At 57.7% G+C, this 14,711-nt stretch overlaps 1 protein-coding gene across 9 annotated transcripts in view, besides 8 other annotated features; it reads left to right on the forward strand.

The window, feature by feature from the left end:
* Positions 1–9: part of an enhancer, noted in NCBI's record as "H3K27ac-H3K4me1 hESC enhancer chr16:28874601-28875106 (GRCh37/hg19 assembly coordinates)", that runs on past the window's edge. NCBI's record gives its function as "activates a minimal SCP1, AML or CMV promoter by ChIP-STARR-seq in primed H9 embryonic stem cells {active_cell/tissue: H9 hESC(primed)}" and the evidence as "EXISTENCE:reporter gene assay evidence [ECO:0000049][PMID:30033119]".
* Positions 1–11: part of a biological region, named in NCBI's record as "Sharpr-MPRA regulatory region 4004", that runs on past the window's edge.
* Positions 1–11: part of an enhancer, noted in NCBI's record as "active region_10647", that runs on past the window's edge. NCBI's record gives its function as "activates an Ori minimal core promoter by ATAC-STARR-seq in GM12878 lymphoblastoid cells {active_cell/tissue: GM12878}" and the evidence as "EXISTENCE:reporter gene assay evidence [ECO:0000049][PMID:35858748]".
* SH2B1 (SH2B adaptor protein 1) overlaps positions 1–10,429 on the forward strand; it is a 27,600-nt gene extending 17,171 nt beyond the window's left edge. For 2 of the 9 annotated variants that reach the window (NM_001308293.2, NM_001387404.1), the window contains 8 exons: positions 2,236–3,257; positions 3,555–3,656; positions 5,230–5,321; positions 5,432–5,607; positions 8,004–8,207; positions 8,414–8,625; positions 8,758–8,929; positions 9,671–10,429. In NM_001308293.2, coding sequence (NP_001295222.1) covers positions 2,319–3,257; positions 3,555–3,656; positions 5,230–5,321; positions 5,432–5,607; positions 8,004–8,207; positions 8,414–8,625; positions 8,758–8,929; positions 9,671–10,044 — 2,271 coding nt within the window. In that variant the 5' untranslated portion in view covers positions 2,236–2,318 and the 3' untranslated portion in view covers positions 10,045–10,429. Of the gene's footprint in view, positions 1–66; positions 3,258–3,554; positions 3,657–5,229; positions 5,322–5,431; positions 5,608–8,003; positions 8,208–8,413; positions 8,626–8,757; positions 8,983–9,393; positions 9,494–9,670 lie in introns of those variants that run through there. The other 7 variants (NM_001145812.2, NM_001145797.2, NM_001145796.2 and 4 more) reach the window with 7 other exon arrangements.
* Positions 122–281: a silencer, noted in NCBI's record as "silent region_7314". NCBI's record gives its function as "represses an Ori minimal core promoter by ATAC-STARR-seq in GM12878 lymphoblastoid cells {active_cell/tissue: GM12878}" and the evidence as "EXISTENCE:reporter gene assay evidence [ECO:0000049][PMID:35858748]".
* Positions 10,177–10,677: an enhancer, noted in NCBI's record as "H3K4me1 hESC enhancer chr16:28885274-28885774 (GRCh37/hg19 assembly coordinates)". NCBI's record gives its function as "activates a minimal SCP1, AML or CMV promoter by ChIP-STARR-seq in primed H9 embryonic stem cells {active_cell/tissue: H9 hESC(primed)}" and the evidence as "EXISTENCE:reporter gene assay evidence [ECO:0000049][PMID:30033119]".
* Positions 10,678–11,178: an enhancer, noted in NCBI's record as "H3K4me1 hESC enhancer chr16:28885775-28886275 (GRCh37/hg19 assembly coordinates)". NCBI's record gives its function as "activates a minimal SCP1, AML or CMV promoter by ChIP-STARR-seq in primed H9 embryonic stem cells {active_cell/tissue: H9 hESC(primed)}" and the evidence as "EXISTENCE:reporter gene assay evidence [ECO:0000049][PMID:30033119]".
* Positions 13,683–13,752: an enhancer, noted in NCBI's record as "active region_10648". NCBI's record gives its function as "activates an Ori minimal core promoter by ATAC-STARR-seq in GM12878 lymphoblastoid cells {active_cell/tissue: GM12878}" and the evidence as "EXISTENCE:reporter gene assay evidence [ECO:0000049][PMID:35858748]".
* Positions 13,763–13,852: an enhancer, noted in NCBI's record as "active region_10649". NCBI's record gives its function as "activates an Ori minimal core promoter by ATAC-STARR-seq in GM12878 lymphoblastoid cells {active_cell/tissue: GM12878}" and the evidence as "EXISTENCE:reporter gene assay evidence [ECO:0000049][PMID:35858748]".

The following is a 14,711-nucleotide window of genomic DNA, read 5'->3' on the forward strand; positions in this document are numbered from 1 at the left end:
CTCCCGCCGCTGTTCTCTATGGTCTCTTCCTTCAGCGACGGGAAAGGGGGTCCTGACGCCTGCGCGGAACCGGGCTGGGCGCTCGTCGCGTAGTGGGTGGGGGCGCAGGGAGCGGGAGCCGCCGCCGCCGCCGCCGCCGCCGGAGCTAACCTCGGGGACCGAGATGCAGGTGGGACCGGAACCGGAACCCCCCTCTTCAAGTACCTTTTCCCTCTCCGCGACCCGGCCCTGGCGCCCGAGAGGATTCCTGGGTGGGGGTGGGCGTGGAGGGCCGGGGGCTGGAGAGGCACTCGGCCCCGGAGAGTGCAGCAGACAGGGCTGGTCCCGAGGTGGATGCGGCCCCGGAAAATGGGCGGCTGGGGGGTGTCCAGGGAGTAGGGTCGGATCGGAGTATATGGACCACCGGGCCCGGAGGGTCCGAGCCGAGAGCGGAGCCTGCACCCTCCACCTCCCGCCCTTCGGGAAATATCAGAACTGAGCCAGGAGGCAGGTGCACCGGGAAAATGTGTCTGAGTCCTGCTTGGCAGAAGAGAAACTGAGTCACCAGCTTAGGAGTCGCAGGGTCAGCGGGCCTGAAGGGGGCTGGGTCTGTCTGCGGTGCGGAGGATTGGGTGGGCCTGTGTGAGCCGAGGTGGCCGCTGGCTGGAGATTGGTTTGCACTTCTTGGCTGGGTTCCCCCGTGCTCCATGACTCCTGCATCTCCTGATTGTTTCTCGTTGGTTTGGAGTTGTCCCTGCGGTTGGAGCCATCTGAGCTTGTAGGGTCGAGGCCCAGGAGGAAGGGGAGGGTTCACCGACTTACAGCCTGGCTGTAGGTTTGAACAGGAGTCTGAGGTCGCTGAGGGTTTGGGGAGGCTTTCCTGAGCTGCTCTGGCCCCAGTCCTGGGGCTGTCACCTTCCAGTATTGCGTGGCGGGAGGAGCGCTAACAAGAGCCAAGGGTTGTAAATTCCACACCCAGCTCTGCCACTTTCTAGTTGTAAGACCTTGAGAGGGCTCCTCCTTTCTCTAATTTCTATTTTAGAAAATTGGAACAATAATATTCTTCTCCCACATGAAGATAGTAACAATGGCAGTCGTTCAGCGGATGCTTACTTTGCGTTCAGCGCTGACATACCCCATTCCATGTAATTCTCTCAACATTTCGAGGGGAGGGATCATTAGCTTTGTTTAACAGATAGAAAAACGGAGGCTCAGAGAGGACGTGGAATTTGTTCAAGATAACATCGCTCATAAGGTGGCTGGACTGGGTGCTCATAAGGTGGTTTGAGCCCTGGTCTGACTCAAGTCCATGGCCTTAACCAGAAGGCTAACCTGCCTTTAGGGCATACTCCCCAGTGGGAGAAGAGGAAGGTGAAAAATCCTAGGGCCCCAGCTCTCCCTGTGATGTTTTGTTTACGTGAGGCCAGCAAAGACTTGACCTGAGCCAACCCAGTTTCTCCTCTGGGGCCCCTGCGGCCTCTGGCCCCAGACTGAAGGGATACCAAAGAAGTGGGCTGTAGCTATTTCACATCTCCTTCACGCAGTGCGTGGGTGCTGGACTCTGGGGTCAGCTTTCAAGACAATTACTGTTTTGGTCCATCATGCATCCATCCTCATTAATGAATCGGCCCCCTCCAAAGAGTTGGACCCTAAGATGCGTGAGGCAGGCTCTCTAAGGTCTAGAATCCCAGCTCCTCTCTAGCCCCCTGCGAGCTGGGGCGGTGAGGTGCTATGGCTGAGGCTGGCCCAGCCGGGCCCTGGGGACAGGGACTATGAAGTGGGGAAAACAGTAGACTTGGAGTTCTGAAACTTTTCTGAGCTTCGGTTTCCTCATCTGTTCGAGAGGTCTTTGAAACCTCTCAGGGAAAGGTAAGATAACCAAGTGGGAGCCTCTAGAATGGCTCATGGGAAGTGTGACATGAATATTGGAGGATCCGATGTAGAGGGGGGGTGATCTGGAAAAGTTCCCTTTTTTAGGGGGAAGGTGCTCCAAAGCCCTCTACTGCTGGATCCAAAGCTAAGGAAAGTGGGGGCAAATGTGGCAGGCTCGGGGCAGGTTAGACGCTGGGGAGCCAGTTGGCTGGGGCCTGCAGGGTGCCAGGATCTGGGAGAGGGAAGGGAGGTGTTGGGCTCCCTTCCCCATTGCTCTCTGCGGAGTCTGAAGTAGGGTCGGACGTCTCTGGCTGGGGGTGGGATGCAGCCTCCGGTGCGCCCTCAGCAGTGACCCTCGTGTGTGCCTCTCTCTTCCTTTCGCAGCTGCTGCCGCCCACCCCTCGTCTTCTGGCTGCCTCCCTCTTTGTGCCCCACAGGCTCCCCCTCTCCACCTCCTGGGGCCCATCATGAATGGTGCCCCTTCCCCAGAGGACGGGGCCTCCCCCTCGTCTCCCCCGCTGCCCCCACCCCCGCCCCCTAGTTGGCGGGAGTTCTGTGAGTCCCACGCCCGGGCTGCGGCTCTGGACTTTGCCCGCCGTTTTCGCCTCTACCTGGCCTCCCACCCCCAATATGCGGGGCCCGGGGCCGAGGCTGCCTTCTCCCGCCGTTTTGCTGAGCTCTTCCTGCAGCACTTTGAAGCCGAGGTGGCCCGGGCCTCTGGCTCCCTGTCGCCACCCATCCTGGCTCCCCTGAGCCCTGGTGCGGAGATTTCGCCACATGACCTGTCCCTTGAGAGCTGCAGGGTGGGTGGGCCCCTGGCTGTGCTGGGCCCTTCTCGATCATCTGAGGACCTGGCCGGCCCCCTCCCTTCCTCAGTCTCTTCCTCCTCTACAACCTCCTCCAAGCCGAAGCTCAAGAAGCGCTTTTCCCTGCGTTCAGTGGGTCGCTCTGTCCGAGGCTCAGTCCGTGGCATCCTGCAGTGGCGGGGGACCGTTGACCCTCCCTCCTCCGCTGGGCCCCTGGAGACCTCGTCAGGCCCCCCAGTCTTAGGTGGAAACAGCAACTCCAACTCCTCTGGCGGGGCTGGGACCGTTGGTAGGGGACTGGTCAGTGATGGAACGTCCCCTGGGGAAAGATGGACTCACCGTTTTGAGAGGCTGAGACTCAGTCGGGGAGGGGGCGCCTTGAAGGATGGAGCAGGGATGGTGCAGAGGGAAGAGCTGCTGAGTTTCATGGGGGCTGAGGAGGCAGCCCCTGACCCAGCCGGAGTGGGCCGGGGAGGAGGGGTGGCTGGGCCTCCTTCAGGGGGAGGAGGGCAGCCTCAGTGGCAGAAGTGTCGCCTGCTGCTTCGAAGTGAAGGAGAAGGAGGAGGAGGAAGTCGCCTGGAGTTCTTTGTACCACCCAAGGTGAGGCCCCTTGGAGGGTGGGTGACTGAGAGCAAGTGAGAGAGTGCTCAGAGTGGTCACAGCCCTGCAGATAAGCTCTGGGGTTTACCAGCCCATGGCCCTGGTGTCGCTCACTTTTTGTTGGTAAAGCTGGCTCTTGGCTCTGTGTTAGCAGCTGCGGGCAGGACTGAGAAAGCAGTGTGACTGCCTTTTGTCTAACTTCCCGAGGATGTAGAAGGAAAGATGAATGTCTGGAGGGAGGGGAAGAGTGGTCTTTGGAAACCAAACACCCAGATCTGTTTCTTTCTCCTGACTTAGGCCTCTCGGCCCCGACTCAGCATCCCCTGCTCTTCTATCACAGACGTCCGGACAACCACAGCCCTGGAGATGCCTGACCGGGAGAACACGTTTGTGGTTAAGGTAGGAATTCAACTTCCCAGCCGCCGGCAGTGCTTGTGTTAAGGAGAAAGCCCTCAGCGCATTTAAGCAAGTGGCGTCGCCGAAAGGAGGTATATATATGTGTCCAGTGCCTTGAGAGTGTGTCCCTGGGGCTGCAGCTTTTCTGGGATAGCGGAAGACAGGGAAATGTTCTTACTCTCAAAAACAATGCCTCCACTTGAAAGAGAACTGTGGAGTTTTTGTTGTTGTGGTTGTTTTAGAGAGACAGGGTCTCCCTCTAAGTCAGGAGTGCAGCAACCTGATCATAGCTCACTGTAGCCTCGTGTAGCCTCGAACTCCTGGGCTCAAGTGATCGTCCTGCCTCAGCCCTCTAAGGAGCTGGGACTACAGGCATGTGACACCATGCCTGGCTAATTTTGTTACTTACTTACATTTGAGATAGAGCCTTGCTCTGCCGCACAGGCTGGAGTGCAGCGGCGCGATCTTGGCTCACTGCAACCTCTGCCTCCCAGGTTCAAGCGATTCTTGTGCCTCAGCCTCCTGAGTAGTTGGGATTACAGGCATGCACCACTATGCCCAGCTAATTTTTTGTATGTTTAGCAGAAATGGGTTTTGCCATGTTCGGCAGGCTGGTCTCAAACTGGCCTCAAGTGATCCACCCCACTTGGCCTCCCAAAGTGTTGGGATCACAGGCGTGAGCCACTGTGCCTGGCCTTATTTTATTTTATTATTTATTTATTTTTTTTGAGACAGAGTCTCGCTCTGTCGCCCAGGCTGGAGTGCAGTGGCGCGATCTCGACTCACTGCAAGCTCCACCTCCCGGGTTCATGCCATTTTCCTGCCTCAGCCTCCCGAGTAGCTGGGACTACTGGCGTCCGCCACCACGCCCGGATAATTTTTTTGTATTTTTAGTAGAGACGGGGTTTCACCAAGTTAGCTAGGATGGTCTCGATCTCCTGACCTCGTGATTTGCCCGCCTCAGCCTCCCAAAGTGCTGGGATTATAGGCGTGAGCCACTGCGCCTGGCCTATTTTATTTTATTTTATTTTTATTTTTTATATTTTTGAGACGGCATTTTACTCTGTCTCCCAGGCTGGAGTTGAAGTGGCATGATCTTGGCTCACTGCAACCTCCGCCTCCCGGGTTCAAGCGATTCTCCTGTCTCAGCCTCTCGAGTAGCTGGGACTACAGGCGCCTGCCACCACGCCTGGCTAATTTTTGTTTTTAGTAGAGACAGGGTTTCACCACATTGGTCATGTTGGTCTCGAACTCTTGACCTTGTGATCCACCCTCCTTGGCCTCTCAAAGTGCTGGGATTACAGGTGTGAGCCATCGTACCCGGCCTCGCCTTATTTTATTTTTCAATTTTTTTAGAGACAGGTTCTCACTATGTTGCCCAGACTGGTCCAACTCCTGGGCTCAAGTGATCCTCCAGAGGTGCTGGGATTACAGGTGTGAGCCTCTGTACCCGGCCTCCAGAGAGAATTCGAATGCATCTTGTTTGTAGACAGCCTGCATACATTGTTCTCATTAGGCATGGATTAAGCCTCCTCCCTGCCCCTGCCCCAGCTGAGGCGTCGTCTCATCTCTGTAGGTGGAAGGTCCATCCGAGTATATCATGGAGACAGTGGATGCCCAGCATGTGAAGGCCTGGGTGTCTGACATCCAAGAATGCCTGAGCCCAGGGTGAGAAGCCTGACTTCTGTCGCTAAGGGACATAGAGTGGGGTTGGGGAGCAGCCTTGCGCCTCTCACCTGGTGACTTTCCTCCCAGCACCATCTTCCCTGTCTCTGCAGACCCTGCCCTGCTACCAGTCCCCGCCCCATGACCCTCCCTCTGGCCCCTGGGACCTCATTCCTTACAAGGGAGAACACAGACAGCCTGGAGCTGTCCTGCCTGAATCACTCGGAGAGTCTACCCAGCCAGGACCTGCTGCTTGGACCCAGCGAGAGCAATGACCGCCTGTCGCAGGGTAAGGGTGGAGCCTTAGAGAGCTCGGAGCCTCGGAACCTGCCATGCGGGGCCCCTGCTGTCAGGCGCCATGCCCTCTCCAGACGCCACTGTGCCCCCATCCCTGTTTTCCAGATGCCCTACCCCAACCCCACCAAATGTTGGTCTTTGATCCCTGAACACAGCCACAGTTTGCTGTTTAGAATAATCATGACCCCACGCAGGCCCCAAGCAAACCTTAGCCAGGCTTCTGCACCCAGCCTCGCCACTTTTTCAGTCAGCGTCCTGCCAGCCACCGCTCTGGCTGGAAATAATGGTGGTTTTCTCCAAGCTTCTGGAACACTTTGTAGAAATCTTTGTTTTGTTCTTACTCTGCATCTCTGTGTCTGTCAGGGGCAATCACGTTTTCTCTTGACTCTGTACTTTTTGGTCTGACCAAACACACATACCCGACCCACACACACAAACACACAAAGATGTGTCACCCAGTCCCAACTCATATTTCTAGATTCGGCCTCCACTATAGCCTTTTCTCCTGACCCTCTGTTCTGAGTTCCAGCTGCACAGTGCCTAGCACACAGGCTGTATTCAGTGAATGAACACATGAATCATGGAATCTTAGATCTAGAGTGGACCTTGCATCTCATCAGATCTTAGTAGCTAAGACCAGGGAGAGGACACCTGAGGGTCACTGAGGAAGACAGGGGCTGCGCCACCCTGTTTCCCAAGCCATGCTGTCTGTGCACCACACGCCTGTCTTCTGAGCACTGCCTGCCTATGACATTTGTGTAGGCAGTGGCCTGCTGTTGGACAGACTTGGAGGATGGCCCTAGTGCATACCTGGCCCTGCTCTGTGTCCCGGGCCAGGATGGGGTAGCTAGGATGCCTGAGATGAGCTCCTTGTTCTCTAGAGGCTTTCAGCTGGGTTGACATCACTCCCTATAGAAAGCTTAGTGTCCCCTGAGCAGCACAAGCAGGAATCACGTTGGGAGCTCAGGAGGAAGAGAGCAGGGGAAGGTGGGAGAGACAGGGACTGCGACGCCGAGGAGAGGAGAGGACATGCCTGGGGACGTGAAGGGCAAGAGCAGAGACCTGCGGGGAGGGCCCAGGATATGGGGACAAATTGGATGGGAAATTGGGTTAAAGTGGAAGAGACATGAATACAAGGTAAGGTAAAGCTCAAGTTGGTGTGGGTTGGGGGAGTAATAGAAGGAGCATCTTTGATGCCTCTTAAGAGTTAGGGGCTTTGTCCTATAGTTCAACAAAGGACACCTTTTTTTTTTTGTTTGTGTGTTTAATTTTTTTATTTTTAAAAAATTATTGTTTGTGTTTTTGTTTTTGAGATAGGGTCTTGTTATGTCTCCCAGGCTGGAGTGCAGTGGTGCAGTCACAGCTTCCTGCAGCCTTGACCTCCCTGGCTCAAGCCATCTTCCTGCGTCAGCGGCTTAAGGTGCTGGGACCACAGGCGTGTGCCACCACCACACCTAGCTAATTTTTTATTTTTTGTAAGAGATGGGGTCTCACCATGTTGCCCAAGTTGGTCTTGAACTCCTGGGCTCAAGTCATTCTCACACCTCAGCCTCCCAAAAGGCTGGGATTACAGGCGTGAGCCACTGTGTGCAGCCAGAATTCCGTGTGTGTGTGTGTGTGTGTGTGTGTGTGTGTGTGTGTTTTGAGACAGAGGCTTGCTCTGTCGCCCAGGCTGCAGTGCAGTGAAACAATCTCGGCTCACTGCAACCTCTGCCTCCCGGGTTCAAGCAATTCTTCTGCCTCAGCCTCCCAGGTAGCTAGGATTACAGGTGTGCACCACTACGTCCAGCTAATTTTTGTATTTTTAGTAGAGATGGTGTTTCACCATGTTGCCCAGGCTGCTCTCGAACTCCTAAGCTCAAGTGATCCTCCTGCCTCAACCTCCCAAAGTGCGGGTATTACAGGTGTGAGCCACTGCGCCTGGCCCAGGACTCCTTTTGAATGTCAAAATATTTGAGGCAGCTGGGCACGGTGGCTCACGCCTGTAATCCCAGAGCTGAGGTGGGCAGATCACTTGAGTCCAGGAACTCAGGGCCAACCTGGGCTATTATATAGCGAGACCCCTTCTCTACAAAAACATGTATATATATATTTAAGGCATTCTGCTCTCCGTTTCTGCAACAGTCTTTCAGCTGTTGATTCAGAAAAAGATGGAGACACATTGGGACTTTAGAACCTCCTTGCAATAACTCTGCAGTCCCTCAGCAGCGCAGGAAGCATCAGTTAGGAGCCATTGGTAAAAGCATCAGGGGTCACTACCCACAGAGCTGTTTGGCATCTTGGCCAGCGACTGCACACAGGGTAGACTGCTGGTGAGGAGATGGGCCCAGGACAGTCCTTTAGAAGAGGAATTTCTTGGGTTCTCAGCTTTGCCCTTTTTTTTTCCAGGGGCATATGGGGGCCTCTCAGACCGCCCCTCGGCATCCATCTCCCCCAGCTCTGCCTCCATTGCCGCCTCCCATTTTGACTCGATGGAACTGCTTCCCCCAGAGTTGCCCCCCCGCATCCCCATTGAAGAGGGACCCCCAACAGGGACAGTTCATCCCCTCTCAGCCCCCTACCCTCCCTTGGACACTCCGGAAACAGCCACAGGTACCGGAGGTGTGAGTGTGCATGTCTCCAGGCCTGGGTGCCTACCTTCCTGACCACCTCTCCTGGGATCCCGAGGGAGCTGGCCCAGGGGAGTTGGGGACGCATGTGGGGAGCAGGCGCCTTGAGGGGAAGGCAAGGCTTTTTTCTCCCAGGATGGGGGAGGCTGCCCTGACACCCCGGTTTCCCTCCCTCTCTCCTTCCTGAAGGGTCCTTCCTGTTCCAGGGGGAGCCAGAGGGCGGTGAGGGGGACCAGCCCCTCTCAGGGTATCCTTGGTTCCACGGGATGCTCTCTCGGCTCAAGGCTGCACAGTTGGTGCTGACTGGCGGCACTGGCTCCCACGGTGTCTTCCTGGTGCGCCAGAGTGAGACAAGGCGGGGTGAATACGTCCTCACCTTCAACTTCCAGGGCAAGGCCAAGGTGAGCCACCCTGTGGGAAAGGCTCTGTTCTGTGCATAGTTGGCAGTGGGGTGGGGGAGCACTGCCGGGGGAGGGGGTTTGTACCTGGCAGGGCCTTTGCCTCCTACCTCACCTCCCCCATCCCGCCCTCAGCACCTGCGTTTGTCGCTGAACGAGGAGGGTCAGTGCCGGGTCCAGCACCTGTGGTTCCAGTCCATTTTCGATATGCTCGAGCACTTCCGGGTGCACCCCATCCCTTTGGAGTCGGGAGGCTCCAGTGATGTTGTCCTTGTCAGCTATGTCCCATCCTCCCAGCGACAGCAGGGTGAGCAGAGCAGGTCTGCAGGGGAGGAGGTGCCCGTGCACCCAAGAAGTGAGGTGTGTGTGCCAGAAAGATGGGGCGGGGAGGGGGGACTATCACAAGGAGAAGCTTTGCTTGGGAGAGCAGGGTAGAGGAGGCTGTTGTGCCTCGGGGTTTGGAAGGGAAAGAAATGCGCTGATAGGACACAGGAAGGCAGAAGGCTCCTGGCCGGAGCCGGGGCGGCAGCTGAGAGGTGGGCGGGCGCATCCCCATTCCATCGGATCCTCTGTTCCATTGTCTGTCTGTCTCCTGGACCCATCCTGGCCTCGTCTTTGCCCTCCGTCGCAGCCTGGCCTTGGGCCTGCCCTTCCCGGGGACACTCGGTCTGATCCCCTTCCCTCCTCCCTCAATGTCTCATGTCCCTGTCTGATCTCTCCCTTTCCCCTGCCCCACCGTCCCATCTGTCCCCACGTTGCCCCTCCCCCCAGGCCGGGAGCAGGCTGGGAGCCATGCGGGGGTGTGCGAGGGAGATGGATGCCACCCCGATGCCTCCTGCACCCTCATGCCCTTCGGAGCGAGTGACTGTGTGTAAGTGTGGTCCTCCTCTCACCACCGCCCATGATCCATCTTCCATGGATGGGGGGTTGCTCAGGAGATGGGATGTGGGGAGACAGCCACGCTCCTGGGGGGCTGAGTGAAGGGGAGGCCACGGCAGGAGCTCACCTGCCTCCACAATCAGTCTGTTTTCTTACCATTCCTATCCAGAACCGACCACCTCCCATGACCCACCCCAGCCCCCTGAACCCCCTTCATGGACAGATCCCCCACAGCCTGGGGCAGAAGAGGCGTCGAGGGCGCCAGAAGTGGCGGCAGCAGCAGCCGCAGCAGCCAAAGAGAGGCAAGAGAAAGAGAAAGCGGGCGGTGGAGGGGTCCCGGAAGAGCTGGTCCCCGTGGTTGAGCTGGTCCCCGTGGTTGAATTGGAAGAGGCCATAGCCCCAGGCTCAGAGGCCCAGGGCGCTGGGTCTGGTGGGGACGCGGGGGTGCCCCCAATGGTGCAGCTGCAGCAGTCACCACTAGGGGGTGATGGAGAGGAAGGGGGCCACCCCAGGGCCATTAACAACCAGTACTCCTTCGTGTGAGCCAACCCCACCCGCTCCACCCTTTTTAAACCCCCCAGCCCTGCTCGTGAGATTGGGCTGGGTAGGGACAGAGGAGGCCGAAATCCCTCCCCCATGCTTCCTGACCCTTGTTGGCCAAGGGCATCTTTGATGGTACAAGCAGAGGCTCGGGAGAGGCTCCCGTCACACACTACAGGTCCCCTCCCCAGGGCAGGGGATTTGGGCTCCATGAGCTCCTTGAGGGGCTCTTCTGGTCAGCCCCACCCTGGGGGCCATTTCCCCATTAACTACCCCCAGCCCGAGGCAGGGTGAGGGGGAAGGGCTGTCAGTTACATTAAGGTGGTTGTTGTTGTTGTTTTAAACAAAATGGAGAAGCATAAATAAATAAAAAGGTTTATCTCGGTTCTATCGTGATGGCTATGGCCATTGTTTGCTGTGGGGACTGGGGACAGTTGGGTTGGGAAGGCAGCCCACTCAGTGCCCACAGGCCAGAGGGCTGGCCCAGGCCAGTCCCCATCATTCTGCAGTGCTGTGCTTTCGGAGCCATCCCTGTGTCTGACAGCCTTGTTCGTGGAGCACTAAATGATGCTCTTGGGGTCTCCTGCGAGTTTTTGTCATGGGACAGTGCTGTGAATGGCAGGCATGGTGATCTCCAGCGGCCCTTCCTGAGTTATGGCTTTGTACCCTAGAGAGAGCTGGCAGTGAGAGATGGGAGGCACGGTGGCTGTGCTGGAAGAGATTGAACGTGGCAGTCACAGGGTAGCCGCAGAGGGGCCCAATGGCCCCCTTCTCAAAGCCAGGCTGGAGGGATGGCAGAGGGCACTAGCTTCTGTCCTGGCCTTGCCACTCACTGGCCTGGGCAAGGTGTAGCCACGCCGGGCCTGAGCATCCTCATCTGTGACATGTGAAGTTTCATCTTGAGTCAGAGCTGCTGACATGGTTTGCTTGGCCTGGACATGGTGTCCATTTGAGTTTCACATTAAAAATTCAGATCACAGGCCAGGTGTGGTGGCTCACGCCTGTAATCCCAGCACTTTGGGAGGCCGACGTGGGTGGATCACCTGAGGTCAGGAGTTTGAGACCAGGCTGACCAATGTGGAGAAACCCCGTCTCTACTAAAAATACAAAAAATTAGCCGGGTGTGGTGGTGCGCGCCTGTAATACCAGCTACTCAGGAGGCTAAGGTAGGAGAATTGCTTGAGCCCAGGAGGTGGAGGTTGCTGTGAGCCAAGATCGCACCATTGCACTCCAACCTGGGCAACAGAGCGAGACTCTGTCTAAAAAAAAAAAAAAAAAAAAAAAAATCACTGGCTTCTCTTAAAAATCAGAAGATCCAGTGATGTGGGTCCACTTCCACATCTGCCCCATCCCCACCAGCTCACTTTGCTCCCTGGGAGGGCCTGGCCCTGTGGGCATTTGAGTTTATAACACCACCCCCATTGTGGCACACCCCTCCACCCCGTAAAACACAGGCTCTGCTCTTGGAATCAGTCTTCCTGATCTGTGGCTGTGCCCTCCAACAGAGGGCACCCCTGGGCTTCCCAGCTCTGGGGGTAGTGGGTGCCAACAAGGAGGGGCCTGGGGCTGAAGAATCCCACCCGCTGAGCTCGGCCTTCTCCCTTCCCCACTGTCCAGCTCCGCCTTTCAGCATCCTGCCTCACTCCCCGCCCAGGCAGCAAGGAGCCCACACCCTCATGCCCCTCAGCTTCAGCCCCCACCTCCAGGAGGCCCTACCCACGCTCATGACCTTGCTATTCTGGGCCTTGTGTCCTGTAGGGAGATGGACAGGAGACAGCTGGGCTTCCAGGCCACCCAGGCGGGGGGCTAGCCGAGGGAAGCCTGCTGGCTCTCCTGCTTGCTCTAATTTCTGGGGCTCCCCAAACCTTGGCCTCAGGAGACTGGGGATAGGACCGGCCTTGAAAGTGGGGGAAGCTTTGGAGAGCCGGGTGCTGGGTTCTTAGTGAGATGGCCAGTGAAGGCTGTGGTGCCCCGAGGTAAGCAGGGCCTGATCCCCTCCTAATCTTCCAGCAGCAACTGGTGCTCTGAGGCTCCCCCTCCCCCAGCCCTGCCAGCCTTCAGGGACCTGCCTTCCAAAGATGGGCAGGGGAGGGGGACGAGGACACCCACCCACTCCTCAGACCAGCATGTCTTGGCTGTTGGGGCCTGAGAGACTTTCCCTCTAAGCCTTTCTTTACAGATGGTTAAACCGAAGTTCTGCACTCATCAGGGACTGGCCAGGGTGTCTCTGTGTCCCATGCTTTTAGCTCCAGCCCTCAGGTGTGACAGGAGGATCACTTTCCATCCCTGGGCGTGGAGACCCCTGTGGGAAGGGATCCCCGAGGGCGCCTCTGGCTCAGCCTCCCTCCATGGCAGTTCACACCCACAGCCTTCCCTAGAGCAGCCCTTCTGCAGCTCCTGGCGGGTGGCTTTCCCTCCCTGGCTTGTTTCCCCCTCTGGGAAGCCGGGGGAGGTAGAAATGAATAACCTTAAAGGCCTGTTGGCAGGAATGTGCTGCCAAGCCTGCCCCCTGCCCTCTGTCTCAGGCTCTCGACTCCCTCGAAGCTGCCCATCTCTCCGTCTGCCCCTCTCCATGTTTGGGCATTCCCACTGCTGTAAGACAGTAGCCCCTGTCACTCCTCCAGGTGCCGGTGGGGAGACGCCGGCCAGCGCCAAAAGCCTTGGCGGGTGTGAGCCTGAGTCCAGCGGAGACGGTGGGTGCTGGGCCGGGTGGAGGTGCCGGGGGCTGTGTCTCTTGGAAGAGAGGCTGCTAATGCTCTCCTGCACCCCCAATTCAGCCCACTGTCCCCCACTCCCCTCAGGTCACAGCAGGATTCTGCTTCAGGGGAGGGGTTTGTTGGAACTGTGAAAAGGAGGCAGGAAGGAGCACCTTGTCCTCAACTCACCCAGGAGGCCGCGCCTCACCCAAGTCCAGGCAGAAGGGATGCATCTGGGAGGCTGAACCCTCAAGTTCCATCCACCCCTGCTGCCATCCCCCTCCCCAAAAGTGGGGGCCTCCCTTTTCTTTGCTCTGCTGTCTCCTATTCTGTCCTCTGCTTCGGAGTTTGAGCCCCAGAATGGAAAGCAGCCTTAAGAAGCCACACTTAGGAAGTCCACATGCCTCTGCTCATTTCAGGAAACAGGCCTAGACAGAGGACGGACTTGAGCCCAGGGCACCAGGCCCCTTCCCCTCACTGACCTTTCACCCTGACTCTCATCCAGCCTTTCTGCCTGCCTGTCCTCCCCTTCCTGCACCCCTGGTACCCTCCCTCGGCTCCTCCAGCAGCTGCCCTGGTGGTAACCAAGAGACGCCCCCATCCTGGAGCAGGGGTGGGGAGGGGCAGCTCAGAGCAGCTGCTTCTCTGAGGAAGCTGACACCAAGGCCAGCATTCAGCAACAACTTGTGGCTTTGCACCCAGCGCCGGGGTCCCCGCCCACCTGGCTCCCTGCTGTCCCTCTTCCCCACTGCTGCTCGGACTTCCCTCTGACCCTGGTGGCTCTGTGTCTCTGCTCCCTTTCCCCCTAGGTCTAGACATCTGTCCTTATTTCCCCCAGACCTGTCCCCAGAAGTCCACCCTTCCCCATTCCTTTGGTCTGGAGCCCCTGCTTGGTCCAGCTTCCCCAGGCCCCGACACCTTTCTGTGGGGTCTGCCTAGCTCCTGCACGCACACAGCATGGGCCTGATCCTGTTCCCCTCGTGGACAGATGCAGCAGGGCAGAGTGCAGCGCAGACCACAGGCCTCTGGGGCTGGCCACAGAAACCCCGTTGGTTAGAGCACAGTGTGGGATGAGGTGACCCTCAGTGCACGACTTGGGGTGACCCCTGCCCCCATCCTGAGACAGTTACCCCTCCCCCTCTGCCATCAGCACATTCTGTAGCCTCTTGGGTTACTTGGCTGCCTTGGTGTCCCATTTTCTTGGGGGTGGGGTGGGGATTCCCTATCCAGGATGGGGGGGCCCTCAGGGCTCTGTTCCCAGAGGCTGAGTTAGAGCGATGGGGAAGGGGGGGGGCAGTTTTGGGGAGAGACAGGCAGTGCTGGCTTTGCTCACCAGGGCCTGGACACTAAATCCCTTGTTGATGGCTGTGGCAACCCCTCCCTAGGGTAGGGTTACCATCTTCGGCCCTGTCCCCTTGACTCTCTCCCCTCACTTCCCCTTGTCCCTCTAGGAGCCACTCACTTCCTCTAGCCCCCAAAAGATGTTCTCCCTTCATCAGTCCCCCAAAGGCTTGGGGTATCTCTGCCACTGCTTCAGCAAATGGGGTGAGGAGGAAGGAGACTGCGGCAATGGAAACAGGCTCCGGGCAGATGAGGCAGGAAGGGGGGTGTGAGGAAAGGGACAGGTGAGGCCGGGGATGGAAGAGGGCTCCGGGAAGAACTGGGGGGATGAGTTTGGAATGGGAAATTCAATGCAGCTGGGGAAGTCGAGGCAATGGGGGGGCAGGGTCAGTAGCAGATGACAGAAAGTGAAGTCTCTCCCTACCCCACTTCCCTGGGGCTGGGGCTACCTTTGCGTCCCTCATGAGTGACATCTCAGGCTGCAGCCCCACTGTTCCCCCTCTGTCAGCAGAAATATCTCTCTTTTCTGACCACCTCCTGCTGGAGTCTCAGCCAGCCAATCCCTGATCTGGTGGAGGGGGGAGCCCGGCCTCCCCCTGCTCCCTCATAAGGACCAGCTGGGGGCCGGGGGGT

This window comes from Homo sapiens, chromosome 16 (assembly GCF_000001405.40).
Source record: "Homo sapiens chromosome 16, GRCh38.p14 Primary Assembly".
Taxonomy (NCBI): Eukaryota; Metazoa; Chordata; class Mammalia; order Primates; family Hominidae; genus Homo; species Homo sapiens.